The sequence below is a fragment of the Homo sapiens genome, chromosome 13 (assembly GCF_000001405.40).
Source record: "Homo sapiens chromosome 13, GRCh38.p14 Primary Assembly".
Taxonomy (NCBI): Eukaryota; Metazoa; Chordata; class Mammalia; order Primates; family Hominidae; genus Homo; species Homo sapiens.
This window is the reverse complement of record NC_000013.11, coordinates 21,045,107-21,065,473: the sequence shown is the minus strand read 5'-3', so window position 1 is coordinate 21,065,473 and position 20,367 is coordinate 21,045,107. Positions and strand designations below refer to the sequence as shown.

Sequence of the window (20,367 nt, the reverse complement as noted above, 5' to 3'; positions counted from 1 at the left end):
GGGCATTATAATTCAGTGTTTCCAATCTCTGGAGTTAGATCTATGAAGGTCTGAATCTCTGCTCTTTGATCTTGGACAAGTTACTTGAGCCGTCTGCATTTCAGGATCCTTTTTTATAAAATGGGTTGAATAACATGGTCGTTTTGAGAATTAAATGATATAATATACAAATTTAGAGCAATACTTGGTATAGAATAAGGACACACACATACACATATGTATATACTATGTCAGTTAATTTATACACTCCAATTTTGTTACTACTGTCCGCTCTATGCTCAGCTGGTCTTGTGTTGTCTCTTTTTCTCCTCTTCTCAGCTAGATACATTATGTAGATGTGCTTATTTAACTGATTAACTTTAAAACATTTTCTGGACCAGGCATGGTGGCTGAAGCCTGTAATCCCAGCACTTTGGGAGGCCAAGGCAGGCAGATCACCTGAGGTCAGGATTTCGAGACCAGCCTGGCCAACATGGTGAAACCCCATCTCTACTAAAAATACAAAAATTAGCCGTGCATGGTGGAGCATGCCTATAATCTCAGCTACTCCAGAGGATGAGGCAGGAGAATTGCTTGAACCCGGGAGATGGAGGTTGCAAGGTTGCAGTGAGCTGATATCTCACCATTGCATTCCAGCCTGGGCGACAGAGCAAGACTCCATCTCAAAAAAAAAAAAAGAAAAAGAAAAAAAGAAAAAAAATTATGTTAACTATCCTACTATAGAAGTATCAGGAAGTATAAGACAAAACCATTCAGAATCACTACACTACATCCAGAGACTACCACTTTTAACATTTGGCTGTGTAATTTTCTGGGCTTTAAAAATAGTTTAAAAAATATACATGTGTACATAGTTTATTGTATATACATATAAAATAAACTTATATTGTTGCTGTTTTTCCTTTCTTTTTTTTGTTTTTAGTAGAGATGGGATCTTACTCTGTTGGCTAGGCTGGTCTCGAACTCCTGGCCTCAAGTGATCCACCCATCTCAGCTTCCCAAAGTGCTGGGATTACAGGCATGAGCCACCATGCCCAGCATGTGTTTTTCTTGAACACCTCTACCTCTACCACACTATAAACCCCATCAGGGGATAAATCTTATGGTTTTGCTTACCATGTTATCCCAAGTATGATTTATTTTAGCACATGGCTCATAGCAGGTACCAATAACAAAACAAAACAGAAACAAAACAAAACAAAAACCCAAACATGGGTTTTTTAATTTTAGCACATGGTTCATAGCAGGTACCGATAACAAAACAGAAAACAAAACAAAAACCCAAACATACAACAACAAACAAAAATGAGAAGGAATGAATGACTGCATGTTAATAAACACAAATCGTTAATCACAACATTCTTCCATGTGAGCGTGTCAGCTTTCCCAACCAAGCCCCTATCTTGGAAACTTGTTTCCAATTTGTCTGTATTCATATATATATATAAAATTTAAAATTTTTAATGTTTTTTAAAAAAGGCACAAAGAATAGTATAGCACACATTATTGAACCCAACCTCCCAGAACCAACAACTTTTAAGATTTTGAGTTTTATTTCCGTTTTTTAAATAAAAGAAAGCATTGTAAAGTTGAAGTCTTCATTTTTTTTCTCTGCTCAATTTCCCTCCTTCCCTCTAATATAAACAACAGCTGTCATGAATTTGGTGTGTGTGATATTGCATTCTATGTCTATACTTATATAAAGTATGTGATCATTTTAGGTTCTGTGGGATTTTGATTATTTATAAATATGGTATCACAGTGTATATATATAGTTCTGCAACTTGCTTTTTTTCACTCCACAGTGCTTTTGAATTCTTTCTACCATCATTTATCCTTTACAACTACAGAGCTAGTTCATTAACTTAGCTACTGTGTATATTCCATCATTTGGATATCTACCTTTCATTTTCCTACCCCTTGACTGGACATTTGGGGTTTTTCTCAATTTTTCACTACTGCAAACAATGCTGAAATGATCATTGTAACTGCAACATTTTTATTAGGTATTTTATGCACAAATTTTAAGGTCCATTAAATCTATTTTATAATATTTTTCATTCCACAAGTGTTTTAAAAATTATTTTTACATCTTTGAAGGCAGAGCAGGAGCAGGATCTTTAAACACACAACAAAAAAAGATTAGCAGCCATGTGGCTTGGGGTTGGGGTGGAGAAAGTATAGTCAGCTTAAGAGTGAAAAGAAGGCCAAGCATGGTGGTGTGCGCCTGTGTTCCCAGCTACCCTAGAGGCTGAGGCAGGAGGATGGCTTGAGCTCAGGAGTTCAAGGCTGATGTGGGCTGCAGTAAGTTATGATTGTGCCACTGCACTCCAGCGTGGGCAATGGAGTGAGACTCTGTCTCTAAGAAAAAAAGGAAAAAATGTGGAAAAGTACATAGGTAATGCCAGTAGGGCTCAATTGCAGAATATTGGCTGGAGACTTATTTTGCTCCCAGTACTGTGCAAGATATCTGGGTAGCATACAGGATACTATCGAAAAATTAAATTGAATTCTAAGCTGCACGATGATGGTTTCTTTTTTTTTTTTTTGCACACTTCTGCTGGCAGGAAGGGATTACGGTTTGATTATCAGAGCCCAAAGAAGAGAGAAAACAGAGATCTGAGAAGATTCCCTGGAAGAGCTGAGGCCTTAAGAGATTGAAAGAGAGGGAGGGGAGGAGGATGAACCAGGGACTGAAGGCTGGGTGAGACTGTCAAAATAGTGCACAGATAATGACCTTTACTACTGTTTCCCATGAGAGTAAAATTTAAAAATTTCACAAGAGTTTGTCAATTAAAGAGGAAATCGAGTTGACTTTAAACACTATATTGACCCTCAGCATCACTTGCCACAGATATAGGTGGTAGGAAGTATGATGTTAGGAGAGCCAGAAGTAGACTGAGGATTTGGCTTCCAGTCTATTATTTCTACTGTGAATCTTTGCACCATCCCTGCTTCTGTCCCTGTACCAGATCCACAGTCCTCAAATGGATAGTGAAGCTGTTCAAAACCCACGACCTCACTTGCTGGTATATACGGTACTATACTATTCCCTACACCATAAAATACTTCTCAGAAAGAAAATATACATGGGGAGGGGAGGTTGATTAAATTAAATCAGGTTAAATTTGGGTGTGCATCAGACGTTCTTTTTTTTTTTTTTTTGAGACGGAGTTTTGCTCTTCTTGCCTAGGCTGGAGTGCAATGATGCGATCTCAGGTCACCGCAACCTCCGCCTCCCGGGTTCCAGTGATTCTCTTGCCTCAGCCTCCCGAAGAGCTGGGATTACAGGCATGAGCCACCACGCCTGGCTAATTTTGTATTTTTAATAGAGACGGGGGTTTCTCCAAGTTGGTCAGGCTGGTCTCGAACTCCCGACCTCAGGTGATCCACCCGCCTAGACCTCTCAAAGTGCTGGGATTACAGGCGTGAGCCACCGCTTCTGGCAAACGTCCTTCTTAATTGTTTGATTCCACTGTCCCAATAGCCGTCTGTCCTTTTCTGCCCCTATTTTTAGTGTCCAGCCACTAGTTGGTAACTTGGTGGCTCCTTCAGGCCTGCTAACTTTTTTTTTTCTTTCACCAAGACTGGTATGAGATACTTAAGAATAGTGGCTTTAACGACAGTTACCAACTTTTAATACAAATGCAGTCGAGAGGGCAAATACTCAAGTTTGGGGGCAGATAGCAGCCAGTCAAATAGGTCCGAGAGGCCCTGGCGAGCTACCGCAGGCCAGCAGGGAGGCCGTGGGCAGGTGGCGGTCGAGGCCGGAGGCAGGAAGCACGGCCGGGCGGGGCTGGGCGGAGCGGCCGCGGAGGAGCAGGGGCCGCAGGCGCCCCGCCCGGACTGGTATGCGGCCGAGAGTGACGCGGGAGGCGGGGTCACGTGACGCCCGTGGAATGCCAACAATGTAGCGAATGTCCCACTTGGGTCTGCGCTTTGGAACCGCGGCGTGAGCGCCCCGGGAAGATGGAGCAGTCGCCGTCCACGCCACCGCCGCCGCCCGGGGCTCCCCCGTCCCTGCGGGGCCAGCAGCAGCTCCAGCCACCAGTGCCCGGTCTCCCGGCGCGAGAGGCCCGGGAGCCGCCGGCCAGGACGCCCCCGAGGGTGTAGACCGCGCCCCTGGAGGTGAGGGGGCTGGGAGCTGGGGTCGGGGCGGCAGCTCGGAGGGTGGCGAGAGTTTCCGCGAAGCGGTCGAGCCCTGCGGCTCCGCGCACCTACTGTGGTGCCGAGGCTCCGGGAAGGGCGCCCGGCGGGGCGGCCGAGGAAGTTTGTCCGGACGGAGCCCTGCGCCCTGCCCCCACGGTCCGCGCCCGCCCGGAGCCGCCCCCGCCCGGCGGCTCGTAGTCCAGGCCGTACGGAGCCCGCGGAGCCGGTTCCAGAGGAGCCGGGGAAGTTGGAGGCCGGCGTCGGGCGGGGGCAGCGGGGCTGCGCCGCTTTGTTGTGCGGCGACCGGGGCGGCCGGGATCCCGGCGGGGCAGGGGCGGCGCGGGCCGGGGGCGGTGTCCTAGACCCGAAAGGCCGTAGCGCCGGGCGCGCCTCTGCTTCCGCTGTCTCCGGGGGATCGGCTTTTCACTAGACGCCCGGCCGGGCGCCCCTGACAGCCTCGGGACCCCCGGTCCGGCGGCGCAGCGGTCCCACGGATCCGGGGCCATCCTCCCGGCCGCGCCATCGTCCCACGGGCCAATCAGTCCTTCAGAGCCCGCCCTGTTGGCCCCCGCCGGCCGCCCCGTCGTCCCGCGAGCCGACGGACCCACGGCGGTGCCGCAGTCGAGGCCGCGCCGCCCCTCAGCCCCCGGTGGCTGCGCCGCCTCACCCACTGCCGCGCGGTTCCCACCCCGTTCCCCGCGGCCGCGCCGCCGGCTCACGGGCCAGTCAGCCCCTCAGAGGCCACCGGACCCTGGGGGCGCCGTTCCTCCCGGGCTGCGGGCGGCCAGGCCCTGCTCGGCGTCTCCCGGCCGGCTGCCGCGCCAACTCTGCGAGTTTGCTCACGGTCTTGGCGGGACGCGGCCCGAGGCGCAGGAGCGCTTTCGTGGCCACGCGAACGGCGGCCGTTGCATAACACGCCATTCCCGTGCCCTAGTTTAGCGACGTGTGGGGGGTTTGGCTTTCTCTTCTGATGTAAGCTCACCTGCGCTTAGCTCCCCAGCCGGACTCTGGAGATGGGGATTCTGACATCATTCACATCTTGCCATCACATCCTTCAGCCCAACTCCAGAACTTCTGGGGAGCTTTCCCTCGGGGATGGAGTGCGGCCTGGAGCAAACCCGTTTGTGAAATGCAAGTCTCCAGTGTCCCGAGGGTTGGGAACGGGGGGCGAGGCGAGGAATGGACCCTGAAGAAGGTAAAACCCACCCGACCAGGGCGCCAAGCAGCCGGTAACAGGGTCCCGAGTTAGCTCGGCGGCTGGCGGCTGTTCTGAGGCCTTTGGATGAGAAATGCTATTTTGCGAGGATCACCATGAAAGAACTTAACTTGCAGATTTTTTTGACAAAAATGTTGTTATTTTAAGACAAGATCTCGCTCTGTCTCCCAGGCTGGAGGGGAGTGGCGCGATCTCGGCTCACTGCAACCTCCGTCTCCCAGGTTCGAGCGATTCTCCTGCCTTAGCCTCCCACGTAGCTGGGATTACAGGCCCGCGCCACCAGCCCAGCTAATTTTGTATTTTTTAGTAGAGACGGGTTTCGCCGTGTTGGCCAGGCTGGCTCTCGAACTCCTGACCTCAGGTGATCCACCTGCCTCCGTCTCCCAGAGTGCTGGGATTACAGGCGTGAGCCACCGCGCCCCACCTGACAAGAATTTTGAACAAGAACTTTTACATTTTCACGCTTCTCTAGGATGGATATGAGTGTTTTTTGTTGTTGTTGTTGTTGTTTTTTGAGACGTTGTCTTGCTCTGTCGCCCAGGCTGGAGTGCAGTGGCGCGATCTCGGCTCACTGCAACCTCGCCTCCTGGGTTCAAGCGATCTCCTACCTCAGTCTCCCGAGTAGCTGGAATTACAGGCGTGTGCCACCACGCCCGGCTAATTTTTTGTATTTTTAGTAGAGACGGGGTTTCGCTGTATTAGCCAGGATGGTCTCAATCTCCTGACCTTGTGATCCGCCCGCCTCAGCCTCCCAAACTGCTGGGATTACAGGCGTAAGCCACCGCACCCAGCCAAGAGTGTTTTTAATGTAATAGCATTAAAAAAATTATTTCACCTTAACTACTAAGCCATAGAGTATACATTTGGCCGGTAAAAAATTCAAATTAATAGCTGAACAGCTCTTTTCACAAAGTATTCAACAAATACGTACATTTTTAAAGGAAAGTTTGCCCGTATTTTAATAAGAAACAAATATACTGAAATTTGAATGGGAAATCACAAAAATGTGTGTGATCTTGCACAAGTGTTTTGCTTAAAATTTTAACTTAGAAGATGAGGGGCCTTCCCTTAATCATGGAAAAAGTAACTCATGGCTGATTATTAGGAAATTTGTGCTAAATCTTGTTGTATATTTTTGGTAAGCTGCTTTGTATGTTTTTTTTTTTTCTGTAACAACCGTTGTAATAAGGTAGTAACAGAAAAAATATTCCAAAATGAGAACGTATAAACTGTTTATGACGTCTATTTAACTGTAATTAACAAGTCAGTGTCTCACAAAATTTTGTCTCATGCAGGTATAGAAGGCACTGAATATAATAATAGTGTAATGAATATACCAGCATTCCTTTGAATATAAGTTGGTGAACATTTAATAACTTTCCAAATCTCAGGCAGTTTAAGGTATCTGAGCAGAGGCTAGCCTGTCTTGCAAAATTACCAAGGTGAATTACTAGAATCATTGAATTATAGAACTGGAAGGGATTCTTCTGGCTTCTCCATCGAGTTTGAAATAGTTTAAGTGTAAATTGGAGCTGTACATGTTCCTTAGCAAATCACAGGGTTGGTGGGAGGGGCTTTCTTTTGGTGGGAGGGGAATGATTTTACAATAAGATTCCTTGTTATTTTAAATGCTATGTTGTAAATAGCCAGCCTTGGGCTCCTAAACTCCACCAAGGGGTGGGGTAGGGTGGGGATTGAAGCTGATAAATTGACCATAAACAGAGGAAGGATTTCGGGAAGCTGGGGTTAGGGGAGAGGTGTTCTTTTTTGTATTGGAAAAACCATACCAACACCATTTTCGAAAAGCTGCTTTTGTATTTTATTTTGTAGTTAAAATCTTGTGAAACTTCTGAACAGTATTTCTTACTGACTTTTTAAAAACAGTTGGTGTGAAGAAATACAGAAGGTAAATTCAAATGCATTGACTCTGTCTTGACTAAATCTGTTCTAAAAAGTACCGAAATATTCTGATGATCAGAAAGAAGGGTAAGGCTTGATTGAAGTGACTGACTTCTAGCTCTAAACATTCTCTGAATCTTCTTCCTTTTAAAAAGTCTATTGCTTAGTAATTCCTCTAGAAGGAATCGGCCTTCAAATTACACAAGTCCAGGGGCATCGTTCCCATTGTATGCTAGGTCACTGCTGCTCTCTGTAATGGGCTTTATTACATAGAGTGCCCTGTGATGGCCCCAGTGTGAGGGCAGCCCTGCTTGGGATGTTCATTTCACTGTTAGCTGTTCTCTCAGTATTTTAAGGCTAATGTTACATAATGTTACGTGATTTTTATTTTTCATTTTTTTTTTATTTTTGAGATGGAGTCTCGCTCTGTCACCCAGGCTGGAGTGCAGTGGCACAATCTTGGCTCACTGCAAGCTCCTCCTCCTGGGTTCACACCATTCTCCTGCCTCAGCCTCCTGAGTAGCTGGGACTACAGGCGCCCGCCACCATGCCCAGCTAATTTTTTTTTTTTTTTACTTTTAGTAGAGACGGGGTTTCACCGTAGTAGCCAGGATGGTCTCGATCTCCTGACCTCGTGATCCACCCGCCTACAGGCATGAGCCACCGCGCCCGGCCTGTTACGTGATTATTAGTTTTATTTTGAAAGTATGAAAACAGCAAGGTAATATTGGAAATAAAGACATTGGTTATGATGTTAAAATTAGAATGGAAATTTGGCATTGTTTAATGTTTGCCGTTCACCCTGGGAAGACTTTGTTGGTTATCATCTAGATCATGTCAAGTTAATTGTGACAAGTGTTTTAAGTTAATTCACAAATACTTTTTGTTTGTGTGACAATATTTGACATACATGGGAATTTTTCTGGGAGAAAAATGAAAAAATCCCATATTTTGTAGCCATGGTTTGTATTTCTTGTTAACACTGATTGTTAGAATCTTGTAGTGTAGTTTAGATCCTATAGACCCTTGATCAGTTAGGATGGTAAGGATCTTAAGAATGTAAGCTGGATTTTGAAAGGAGTGGGCCTCTGTTTGGAATAGTGAGCCTCCCTGCCTCTAGGCAGTTATCTTGAGCAGGAATGCTAAGGGCCAACATGGTTCATTACTAGTTAACTCCATTCTTACTCGGGAGTCTCACTCATTTTTCTCATTAAATGTACCCGGACGACACCTGCACCCTCCCCAACATTTTTTGGCTGTTTTGTTCATCTTTCTCTCCCACGTTTGAGCCTTTTCATTGGAAGTTCCAGGCTCCAAGAATAGCTTCACACTTCCTCCATCAAATCATAGCCCTTCCAGTCTTTCTAATTTTGGTGAAACATCCCTTTCTCTAAGATACCTTCTCCAAATAATCTCAACACCTTCCTGAAGAATTGTGCTCCTCCATGGAAGTAGGCAGGGATTCTTTGGACAGTCACAGTATTTATTACTTCAGTCCATAGCAGTGATTCTCAAATGGGAGGGGTGTTCTAACTCCCTAGCTGGAGCGTATCCAAAACTTGGAGGGGTGCAGAGGAGGCAAGGCTTTCTTAACGATTGAGAACCCCTGCTGGGCTATGAAATTGAATATAAGATGGCCCATCCTGTTGGGTCGCTTGCTATTAGGAAAGCTGCAAAGAACTAATAATGTATCTGCAACTTGGTCACTCTGTTGTGATATCTTGAGTACAGACTTCTGTAGCTCAATTTTTTTATGCCATTTATATTTGCATAATGTATATCATAAAAATATAATGTACAAAGCTGTCTAATAGAGAATGTGATGGTGTCTTTTTCCCCGAGACTGTAAGCTTATGTAGAAGTGATACTCTGGCTGGGCATGGTGGCTCATGCCCGTAATTCCAGCACTTTGGGAGGCCGAGGCGGGGGGATCACTTGAGTCCAGGAATTCGAGACGAGCTTGGGTGACATGGCGAAACCCCATCTCATGGCGAAACTCCCCCTCAGATCTTGCCACTGCACTCCAGCCTGGGCAACCAGAGTGAGACCCTGCCCCCCCCACCAAAAAAAAAGACCCAATTCTACCTAGGTGAGACCTTATAGTGTCCAGCACAATGCTCAGTACACATATGGCAATGCCAAATTCTCTGAGGCCTTGTGATGATGCTGCTATTGGAGAGTGGGAATTCTTCTAAAGTGTGTTTTCCTGGATCCCCAGAGGAATGCAATCACTGCCTTCCTCAAAGACCCTCATTATGAGAGGTAGCCCTTGGCCTGTGGCTTCCTGGCTTGACAGTGCTGGTGTGGTACATCCACATAGTGGTTTATGATTCTGACATTTAGCATCTGGCTGGAGGCCTGGCCCGTCTGCCTGATTTAGTTTCAGCTTTGCTAGTTAATTATAGTAGGGATATGATTTAAATAATAGCTGGAATTTTAGGTTCAAGAAATCCTGCTTCAGAAAATGCCAACATGTGTCATTAGCGCAGGTCCCATGAGACATTGGTTTGGTTGGTTCCTTGGTTGGTGCTTGATGTGTGTTTGGCAGCCAGTGTGGGTTTGTGAAGCACTAGGATAAATTAGAATAAAAATTCTTGAACATCTGATAGCATTTTCCAGGATTGGATTGAGGGTTGGAATTGGGTTTGGTAGGACCAAATTAAAGGCATGCTTAAAATTTTGCTCTCACATTGTTTACACAGGCCACCTATATTAAGCATGGGATTTAGTAGTTGTCTCAGCTCTGGATTTAGAGAATGAGGTGTTTTTGTTTTGTGAGTTGTTATGGTTTTAAAATTCCAGTGTTTGTAGTTTGTTACTTAAAATGTGTGTGAATCAATTGGTGATGCCAAAGAAATTTCCAAAGTTAGATTTACTTTGCTTGATATCCCCATTTTTTTTAAAGTCCACATCCATGAGGGTCATATTTATAAAACTCTTGATGAAAGAAAAATTTCCCGTATGTGAAGTCTCATTAAAATGGTATAGTAATATGTCAGAGTTGTTCATTTCCAGCTGCAGTCTTGACTGATGAGTATTCTCATGAAAATTCTTTCAAAAGTTCATAATTTGGCCATGAAATCAACTGTCTTCAAACTAAAGCTTAAAATACACTGTCTGAAGCTGAAAAAATGCTTTCATTCTCTATGAAACTGAAGGAACGTTTCATCCTTTCTAAAGTACTCAGGCAAGAACACAGTTTATCCGTAGGTACTATTTTTTCATATTCACTTAAGACAGGGACAGCCCTTGTGGTATCCCTAGACTAGTGCCTCACTATGGTGGGAGATGGAGAAAAAATCAGAACAGCTTGTGGGGTCCTCCCCCTCCCTCCGTACCAAACAAAACCAGGTGGTAGGTTTAGGGATGTCACTGAATAATCCTCTCAACCTTTTTGTATGTTTGACATTTTTCATAAGCAAATGTTGAGGGGGGAATGGAAAAAGAAAGAAAAACCAGGACTCCTGATCTGGCTAGGGACACGGCCACTTAGTATTTCTTTGCTCAGGTATAAACAGACATCGACATAGAAATGTCCAGTCTCGACTGCCCTGGTTGATTTTACTATTTGAATGTTTGTGGCACCCACAGATGCTTAACACCCCAAGTGTCTCTAGGAGCGTGGCTCTGCTGTGAGTCAGTGTCCGTGTGGTGGAGGGCCAGTGGGGTGGGGAGGTGCAGCTGCCCTAGGGTTTGGACTTCACGTGGAGACTTTGCCCTGCTATATCCTACCCAGTCCCTAGGTCCAGTCTTCTCATTGTGTAGCTATGTTTATTTATTTATTTAAATTTTTTTTCTTTTTGAGGTGGAGACTTGCTCTGTTGCCTAGGCTGGAGTGCAGTGGAATGACCTCGGCTCACAGCAGCCCCCGCCTCCCAGGTTCAAGCGATTTCCAGCTAATTTTTGCATTTTTAGTAGAGACAGGGTTTTGCCATGTTGGCCAGGCTGGTCTTGAACTCCTGACCTCAAGTGATCTTCCTGCCTTCCTGCCTCCAGCTCCCAAAGTGCTAGGATTACAGGCATGAGCCACTGCACCCAGCCGTGTAGCTATGTTTAAAAAGGGAGCCATTGTTCAAACACGAGTTTGCTAAATAGGAGTAGTTAGGAGACTTTTTTCCCCATTTTTAAAAATTGAGGAAAAATATACATATTTATCCTTTTAACCATTCTTAAGTATACAGTTCAGTTAAGTGGCATTAAATGCACCATTACTGCAAACATCACCACTGTCTATACATAAGACTTTTTCATCATCCCAAACAAAAACTGTACCCCTTAAGTAAAAATTCCCTGTTCCCCTTTCTTCTGGTAATCTCTCTTCTTTCTGTCTCTATGAATTTGCCTGCTGGAGGTAACTCACATAACTGGAATCATACAATATTTCCTTTTTGTGTTTGGCTTATTTCACTTAGCATAATGTTCTTGAGGTACATCTTTATTGTTGCATATGACAGGATTTCCTTCCTTTTTATAGCTGAATAATATGCCATAGTTCTGCGACTTTTGTTCTGTGTGAACCTCCCTTGGGCCCGTTTCATTTAGACCTGCATGTTAAACTTCAGAGAAGGTGCTGCTGTTGACTGAGGCTTCGTTCTCCTTTATCACCTTAGACCTTTGGGGTGGCACTGGCAGGCTTTGTCCTCAGTGTGGAACTGAGGACGCAGATTCGGTGCTGAGTGACTACCTGTGTCTTTCAACAGATGTTGCGTGGGCCTGTGTGCACATGCCTGGGAGTAGATGGGGGTAAACCAAACAGGATGCTCCTGCCCTCGTGGTGCTATCAGATTCTTCAAGAGGAAGCACACCAGCCAGTGGTGGTGCTGTGGGAAGGGCTGGGAGTGAACATGTATGGTCCCTTAGATTGGGGAGGTCAGGAAGGTCCTTCTGTGGGAGGGGTTCTGGGCTGAGGTTTTAGGAGTAGGAGTGAGCCAGGCAGGTGGGGTTGAGTTGGGCTTTTTTTTTTTTTTTTTTTTTTTGAGACAGAGTCTCACTCTGTTGCCAAGCTGGAGTGCAGTGGCATGTTCTCGGCTCACTGCATCCTCCGCCTCCCGGGTTCAAGCGATTCTCCTGCCTCAGCCTCCCTAGTAGCTGGGACTATAGGTGCGTGCCACCACACCCAGCTAATTTTTGTATATTTGGTGGACACAGGGTTTCACCGTGTTGGCCAGGATGGTCTCGATCTCCTGACCTCGTGATCTGCCTGCCTCAGCCTCCCAAAGTGCTGGGATTACAGGCGTGAGCCACCGTGCCCGGCCCAGCGTTCGGTTTTTCTAGCTGAGAGAAAGGTTTTGCAGGTTGGGGAGGACAGGAAGCATCGGTGCCTTTGACATACACAGGATCACAGAGTCAACCCAGACCTGCTGTTTGAGCCGCAGTCAGCATCTTGAGGCTCAGATGCTGCTCAGAACTGACCAACCTGGCACCTGGCTGCAGGCACGTTTCAGAGAGGAAAGACTTAAGCTTTTCTTCTCTGTGTTTTTCTGTCTTTACAGTTAAAAGAAAGCTACTTTAACTTTCTAAGCATCATTCTCAAACACTGATTTAAAGAGGAGTCACTCGGCTGGGCATGGTAGCCCGCGCCTGTTATCCCAGCTCTTTGGGAGGCTGAGGCAGGTGGATCACTTGAGATCAGGAGTTCGAGACCAGCCTAGGCAACAGGGTGAAACCCCCATCTCTGCTAAAAATACAAAAATTAACCGAGTGTGGTGGTGCACGCCTGTAATCTCAGTTACTCGGGTGGCTGAGGCACGAGAATCACTTGAATCTACAAGGTGGAGGTTGCAGTGAGCTGAGATTGAGCCACTGCACTCCAGTCTAGGTGACAGAGTGAGACTCTCCCAAATAAATAAATAAAAAATAAAGAGGAGTCACTTGGAGCAAGCAACCTGTTTCTGTGTTCAGTTTGGTAATTTTTCCGTGGTCTTATCTCCTGGCCTCATTAAACCTTTTTTGCCTAACTTATTATAAATCTTTAATTAGTAATGGTGATAATTGATCAGTATATCATGCATTACAGATTGAGCCTGCTGTCACACACAGCACCACTGTGATCCTCAAGGCAAGCCTGTCAGGTAGACAGTAGCGGGTGTTAGACCCTTGGTACCGTGCAGGAGCTTGAAACTCAGCAAGGTTAAGTGACAGGCTCAGACCACACGCTCAGTGCCAGAGCTGGGGAAGGACCCAGGCCTCCCACCTCCAGCCACTTTAGCACTGCACACCCAGTTTTCAGTGAGCTTCCCCTCCCTGTGCTTTTTAAACAGGGTCTTGCTCTGACTCCCAGGCTGGAGTGCAGTAGTGTGACCTTGACTCACTGCAGCCTCTACTTCCTGGGTTTAAGTGATTCTCCCACCTCAGCCTCCGGAGTAGCTGGGACCATAGGTGTGCCTCCACACCTGGTTAATTATTTAATTACTTTTAGAAATGCCGTCTGCCTCTGTTGCCCAGGTTGGTCTCCAGCTCCTGGGCTCAAGCAGTCCTCCCACCTTGGCCTCCCAAAGTGCCAGGATTACATGTGTGAGCCACTGGACCCAGCCTGCCCTGTGCTTTTTCACCTTTGGTCACTGCCTTCCTCCTCCACCACTGACACTGCTCTCCTGGTGGGCCGCATTGCCCAGACAGGTGAGGTTTCCTGGCTCAGAGAATGGCACCACCACTGGCCCCATTTTTCAAACCAGAAACTTGGGCTCATCTTTCATATCAGTCCTTTCCAGTGAACATTACTTACTCCTATGGGTTCTACCTCTTAGTGCTGTTGAGTGCACCCACTTTTCTCTATCCTGTAACTGCTCTCTATTTCAGATCCCCATAATTCTTTGGGCAAACTTTCATTGTGACACATACCCTATAGTGTATTTAAATAATTGATTTTCTCCTCTGCCTTCCCATCTTGAGCTATGAGCTCCTTAAAGTCAGAGGCAAATCAGTCTTTCTGCATCCTCAGGACCAAGTAACAGGGTCACCTTGTGTGGGTGTTCAGGTTGTGCACTGCTCAAGGGCCCTACATATAAGAGGGCTTGTCTCACATCACATGTATACACATTTATATGAGGGCATGTGCAGTCTGCTTGGAGACTTTTAGCCACTCACAGAAGACCTGGGTGGCAGTAGAGACTCACCTCCCCTGACACGGCGTATGCGTCACACATCTTCTAGAGGGCAGACATGATCACCCTTCTCTGTGACTTGCACTAAGACCATTTCTTTCTCTCCTATGCCTCAGAGGTCCCGTTCACGCCTTCCATTTGACTCAGCCTTTTCCTGCCCCCCCTCACGTGGCTGTGGTATCATGGCATGTCTATGCGTGGGCCAGGGCCTCTTGCCCACAGGGCTCCAGAAAGCTCCCCAGGGAGAGTTGTTGGTGCTGTACAATAATATAGAAACAAAAAACTTCTTGAGGAAGGGGTGCCTTTTTACAGTCTCTCCAGGGGCTCTGCCAGTCGCTCTTCAGCGTATTTGGCACGGCGATGGTAAGCAAGGCCTTGAGCCGAGCACCCACGCTGCAGCTCCTCACAGCTCTGGGCCTGGAGCCATGGCAACCTGAATGGCAGTGGTGCCATTTGTAATAGCCCAGACCAGGAGTAACCTAAACGTCCATTAGGTAGAATGGATGCATAAGTTATGGTGTATTCATACAAGGGGATATTACGCAGCAATGACAACTGACAGGCTTCTGCTATATATATACTACGTGTATGAATCTGCAAATATAGTGTTGAAAGAAATGTGCTAAACTACAGAGTAGAGATTGCATAATTCCTTGGATATACAGTTCAAAAACTGGTCAGACTAATCCTTGGTGTTAGATGACATGAAGGTGGTTCCCCTTGGTCTGTGGGGGCCTGGAGGCTTCTGGGGTTGTGATAATGATACACTTCTTGATTTGGATGCTATTTACAAGAGTGTGTTCCTTGGTGAACATTTGTCAATCTTACAATCTGTGCAGTTTAAAAAATATATGTTAAATAAGTGGATTGCCCCTACCCCCTCCACCCCCAAAAGCCTTACTGTTCCTCCTGGCTTTCAGCAGCTTTCCATCTATGTATGTATGTATGTATGTATGTATCTATCTATCTATCTATCTATCTGTCTATGAGACAGAGTCTCCCTCTGTCGCCTAGGCTGGAGTGCAGTGGCACAATCTCAGCTCACTGCAAACTGCACCTCCTGGATTCAAGGGATTCTCCTGCCTCAGCCTTCCGAGTAGCTGGACTACAGGGGTGTGCTGTCACACCTGGCTAATTTTTGTATTTTTAGTAGAGACAGCGTTTCACTGTGTTGGCCAGGCTGGTCTCAAACTCCTGGCCTCAAGTGATCTGCCTGCCTCGGCATCCGAAAGAGCTGGGATTATAGGCATGAGCCACAGTGCCCGGCCAGCTTCCCTTCTTTAGAGCAGATTCCAGAGAGAGCTTTCCAGCCTCAGAGTCAACCAGGACCTCCTTCAGCCACCCCCAACTCCCTTTGCTCTGCTCATGTGATGGGGGAGAGGACATCCCTGCATCCTGGCTTTAACATGGAACTTTCTCATGGTTCTTTTTCTTCAGTCTGCAGTGTCTCTTGTGGCTCTTGTCCTTTCATAGCTGAGTGAAAAGCAGCTTGCCCCTTCTGTGCCCTGCTAATGTCACTGCTGGTAAAAAGAGACATATCACAGGTGGCTGCTCCTGTAAGGAATGTGAGTGAGCCGGGAGGGCCTCAGCCATCCACTCACCTGGTAGCTCCATTTCATGGCTGAGCAGGCAGGCCTCTGGCCGGGCAAATGTCCCATATGCAGATGCCAGCACCCCTCCCCACCATCCCCCATCTGTGCCTTTCATTCCAGACCTGAAACCCCTTCCCCTTGCTCCCCGGGGCTGCTGCTCCTCACCCAGAAGTGTTGCACTTGTCCCTTCTAAGCCCACCTTCCACTCAGGCCGTGTCACTCCTTAGCTGAACCATAGGCAGTGACTGCCCATCCTCTGCACTGAGTCCAGACTCAACATGGCTGGGAATTGAGCCTCTGGATACCTCCATGGTTTCATCCCACGAGACACCCCCACTACCCCCGAGTCCTTTGACCTCCTATGTCTCCAGGAAGAGCCTGCATTGCACAGACCTGAATGTGGTGGGTGGAGCCTAAAGGCTTCTTTGCATATGCTGTTCCCTCTAGCTGGAATTCCATTCCTCCTGACACTCAGGTCTAATTATTTCTAGAGCTCTTTCTTTTTTATTCTCCAGGCATCTCTCTTTTTTTGAAGTTGTTTATTTGCCTGCCTCACCCCAGCTTTCACTTGACAGTAAACTTGCTGAAGCCAAGATTTTGTTTTCATTTATCCTATCAGTGCCTGAGATTCAGTAGGTTTTTTTTATTTTTATTTTTATTTTTATTTTTTATTTTTTGAGACGGAGTTTCGCTCTTGTTGCCCAGGCTGGAGTGCGATGGTGCGATCTCGGCTCACTGCAACCCCCGCCTCCCTGGTTCAAGTGATTCTCCTGCCTCAGCCTCCCAAGTAGCTGGGATTATAGGCACCCGCCACCATGCCTGGCTAATTTTTTATGTTTAGTTAGTAGAGACAGGGTTTCACTATATGTTAGCCAGGCTGGTCTCGAACTCCTGACCTCAGATGATCCGCCCGCCTTGACCTCCCAAAGTGGCTGGGATTACAGACGTGAGCCACCACGTCCAGCCTTGAGTAGGTATTTAATAAATGTTTGTATGGTAGGTAGAGGGTGGATGGGCTAGATGAGTAGATGGCCGAGTGAATGTATTTTGAGCATGAAGAAACTCTCTGCGTATTGTCAGGCCCTCCCTTGCATTGATTGTTCTTGTGAAGATAGTATGGCTGTGTTTTCTCTATTTTAGTTTTCAAAGAAAGGGAAGAAAACTTAAGATTGGAAACAAAGTGATTTGTGTGAATTCCTATAGGAAAAGAAAGAACTCTACTGCCTCTTCCCAGACATACCGAGTCACTTCTAGGATCCTCCATACTGCTTGGCATCACCTTGAGAACCTCTCCGTTTTTGTCGGAATGTGAAGTTACGGTTTTACAAAGTTAGGTATTTCAAAACAGATGCTTAGAGCACAAAGTCACTGAAATGAGTGTGGCTGCAATATGCCCCATTTTACACCAATTAAGCAGAGCTCTAGGCTTCTGATATGTGGCCAGTACAGGCCCCAGGGGATCTGGGCTGTCCCTGGATCTAATAGCTCAATGTCTGCACAGTCTTACAGTCATTTCAGTGACTTTACTATATTATATTGTGTATTAAAATAGGGATTTCATGTTGAGAAATTTATTTAGTCTCTCTCTTATCTTCTAAATGGAATCTTCTCACAATTACATTGAGAAAGGGGATAGTTAAAACGCTTACAATCCCCTTCCCATCTAAGCAAGGACTAGGAATTCAAATGTCATCTCTTAGTGTTTGCTATTGCATATGGTTGTGCAATAGATCTATGTAAATTAATTCTTTGAACCGCACCTGACACATAGTAAGGCTGGGTGAATATTAGCTATCCTTTTTTTTTTTTTTAATCCACTTGAAAAAGTCTGTGAAGCAGGGTCGCGGTTTACAGTTATAAAGTTCCTTACGGAAGCTAAACATCCAGATCCCTCTGCCCATCCCCGTTTAGAGGGTACTCTTTTTGGATCAGTTGTTCTTCGTTTATTAAAACTCAAAATGATTATCCTTCGAAATCTGCTCATTGAGTTCTGTGGAGTAAGGGGGAGTGGGTGAGGGAAGGGGCAGCCACTAAGGGCTTTGGCACGGTGTGGGGTGCTGGCCCTGCCTTTCCCACCAGCGGGCACCTTCCCTGGGTTAGAGCAGCTGGTTATATAAACATTCATCACGGGGTGAAGAATAGGGAGGATGTTGTGTGTTCCAAGTACTGCAGGGCCTGGTACCCTTGTCATCTGACCCGGTGCTCACCACTGTCCTAAGCATCCGTCTCTATTACATAGCAGGGAGTGGGGCTGAGGGAGGCGAAGGGACTGGTCCAGGGTCACCCAGCCTTGTGACAAGTGACCTGTGCTGGCTGCTGAGGGCGGTGTTGACTTGGACTGGATTTTCCTTTCTGAATCAAAGAACAGCAGAGTAGGCCGTGAACGAGGCCTGGGGTAGGTAGAATTTACTATTGGAAAATGCCTTTGTGACATCGCGTTCCATGTAACGAGGCCATTTCCATGCTGCAGTTGTAGTTCTGTAGTAATAACTCTTACCCACATGATCATTTGATGTTCATGTGGCCATGGTGCACTCTGAGAAGTTGCCTACATGCTGTTACCAGTCCCCTTCCATGTCAGTATCAATTGCTACAAGAAAGATATTTTAATTTTACTATTTAGGTCAAAATGCTGGTAAGTGGCCACCTTGTAAAAAACAAAGGAAGTAGTTACCTTCAAAGTCTCATAATGTGTGTGTGGAAACTGCAATTGAAACATTTGCAACATGGGACAGTTTTAATGTGACAGGCTTTGTGGTGTCTTTTAGGAAAATTGGGAGGGTTTTATAAGGAAAAGTTCAGAAAGTTTTCTAAAGATATGGAAGGACCACATCTCATGTGAGGGGGGAGAGGTTAGTAAAGCCATGGGGATGAAGGACAAGGAGTGGATTGGTTATTAGGAACAAGCCAGAAATCCAAGATCCCATGTAGAAAATTTAAATACTCCTCAAGCTGTGGGTTTCAAAATAAAATTTTATTATAATGAAGTATTTTAAATGAGCTGTCAGTTGTTAATACTACTGTTCTTGCCCTGAGTTGAATATTTATAGCAATTTACTTTATTGCAGATTACGTATTACAGGAAGCATTTTGGGACAGCCGTAGATGTCATGTGCTCTAACCATGGTTGAACAGTATTTTTGTCATTTCTGAGAGGTGATGCGTTCTTTCTTTTCTTTCCAAGCGGTATATTTCCACGATCACTGTTTATTTCTGAAAAGTAGCATTAACGTTGCGTGAAAATGACAAATGAACATTTCTCTCCCATTTATTTTCTTTTTCAGAGAGTGATAATCTTCAAAATGAAGACTTTGGAAAATTTTAGGTTCTCTATAGGAACTACAAAAATGGAAGGAAAGAACATTTTCAAAAGGAAATTATTTTGAAAGTATGTTTACAACAAACTGATACTATTGACAGTTTTTTTTTTTAAATAATAAAACACTTTAAGAAGATTGTATTTATGGTAAAAGGAAACTGGACTAACAATGAGGCCAAAGACTTTTCCTGCCACGACTTATTCTGGAAATAGCCGGCAGCGACTGCAAGAGATTCGTGAGGGGTTAAAACAGCCATCCAAGTCTTCGGTTCAGGGGCTACCCGCAGGACCAAACAGTGACACTTCCCTGGATGCCAAAGTCCTGGGGAGCAAAGATGCCACCAGGCAGCAGCAGCAGATGAGAGCCACCCCAAAGTTCGGACCTTATCAGAAAGCCTTGAGGGAAATCAGATATTCCTTGTTGCCTTTTGCTAATGAATCGGGCACCTCTGCAGCTGCAGAAGTGAACCGGCAAATGCTGCAGGAACTGGTGAACGCAGGATGCGACCAGGTGGGTACAGACCTCTGCAGGGCCATGTGCAGAGGCAGCTATGGGACAGCTGGGGCAGTCAGAATGGTTTGGCAACTACTTGAAGGCTTTGAATTGGTTACTACTTATACAAGTGTTTCTAGGTTAAAAACCCAAGGCCCTTTTAACACATAATTGAACTCACAATTGAAGGTTCTCTACCTTCTCTCTAAAATGGTCTTTTGAGCTGCTTTTCCTTTTCAGGCAAGTTCCAGAAGTTGCTGAGGTCTCCTGAAATTGTAATGTGTATTTTCTGATCTGTTCTTGTGGAGATGAAAAGGGCTTTCGTGCTTAGCCCCTTTTTTTGGTGTTTATTCGGGTTATTCTGAGCTATCGTGGAAAGAGACTGGCTTCCCTTTTCTTGTTTTGGTTTGTGCATTTTTTTTTTCCTAGAAATGGGAGGGTTGAGCAACATGCATTGGCTATTCTCTGACTCGGTTTTCTCCTATTTAACAATTAGTGTATATGCTGTTACAGGGGGTGTAACTATTAACATGTTCAGGAAATGGGAAAAACTAGAAAGAAAAAGCTTGAGAAATCGTCAAAATTGTGGCAACACA

At 46.0% G+C, this 20,367-nt stretch overlaps 1 protein-coding gene across 6 annotated transcripts in view, besides 5 other annotated features; it reads left to right on the top strand.

Annotated features, from left to right (window-relative positions):
- Positions 3,674–4,473: a silencer, noted in NCBI's record as "silent region_5160". NCBI's record gives its function as "represses an Ori minimal core promoter by ATAC-STARR-seq in GM12878 lymphoblastoid cells {active_cell/tissue: GM12878}" and the evidence as "EXISTENCE:reporter gene assay evidence [ECO:0000049][PMID:35858748]".
- LATS2 (large tumor suppressor kinase 2) overlaps positions 3,888–20,367 on the top strand; it is an 88,551-nt gene continuing 72,071 nt past the window's right edge. For 2 of the 6 annotated variants that reach the window (XM_017020542.2, NM_014572.3), the window contains exons 1-2: positions 3,888–4,128; positions 19,244–19,789. In XM_017020542.2, the coding sequence (XP_016876031.1) occupies positions 19,448–19,789 (342 nt within the window). In that variant the 5' untranslated portion in view covers positions 3,888–4,128; positions 19,244–19,447. Of the gene's footprint in view, positions 4,129–5,068; positions 5,345–17,755; positions 19,116–19,243; positions 19,790–20,367 lie in introns of those variants that run through there. The other 4 variants (XM_047430266.1, XM_005266342.1, XM_047430267.1 and 1 more) reach the window with 4 other exon arrangements.
- Positions 4,529–5,421: an enhancer, noted in NCBI's record as "NANOG-H3K27ac-H3K4me1 hESC enhancer chr13:21634192-21635084 (GRCh37/hg19 assembly coordinates)". NCBI's record gives its function as "activates a minimal SCP1, AML or CMV promoter by ChIP-STARR-seq in naive H9 embryonic stem cells {active_cell/tissue: H9 hESC(naive)}" and the evidence as "EXISTENCE:reporter gene assay evidence [ECO:0000049][PMID:30033119]".
- Positions 4,614–5,023: a silencer, noted in NCBI's record as "silent region_5159". NCBI's record gives its function as "represses an Ori minimal core promoter by ATAC-STARR-seq in GM12878 lymphoblastoid cells {active_cell/tissue: GM12878}" and the evidence as "EXISTENCE:reporter gene assay evidence [ECO:0000049][PMID:35858748]".
- Positions 12,467–12,968: an enhancer, noted in NCBI's record as "H3K4me1 hESC enhancer chr13:21626645-21627146 (GRCh37/hg19 assembly coordinates)". NCBI's record gives its function as "activates a minimal SCP1, AML or CMV promoter by ChIP-STARR-seq in primed H9 embryonic stem cells {active_cell/tissue: H9 hESC(primed)}" and the evidence as "EXISTENCE:reporter gene assay evidence [ECO:0000049][PMID:30033119]".
- Positions 14,257–14,756: an enhancer, noted in NCBI's record as "H3K4me1 hESC enhancer chr13:21624857-21625356 (GRCh37/hg19 assembly coordinates)". NCBI's record gives its function as "activates a minimal SCP1, AML or CMV promoter by ChIP-STARR-seq in primed H9 embryonic stem cells {active_cell/tissue: H9 hESC(primed)}" and the evidence as "EXISTENCE:reporter gene assay evidence [ECO:0000049][PMID:30033119]".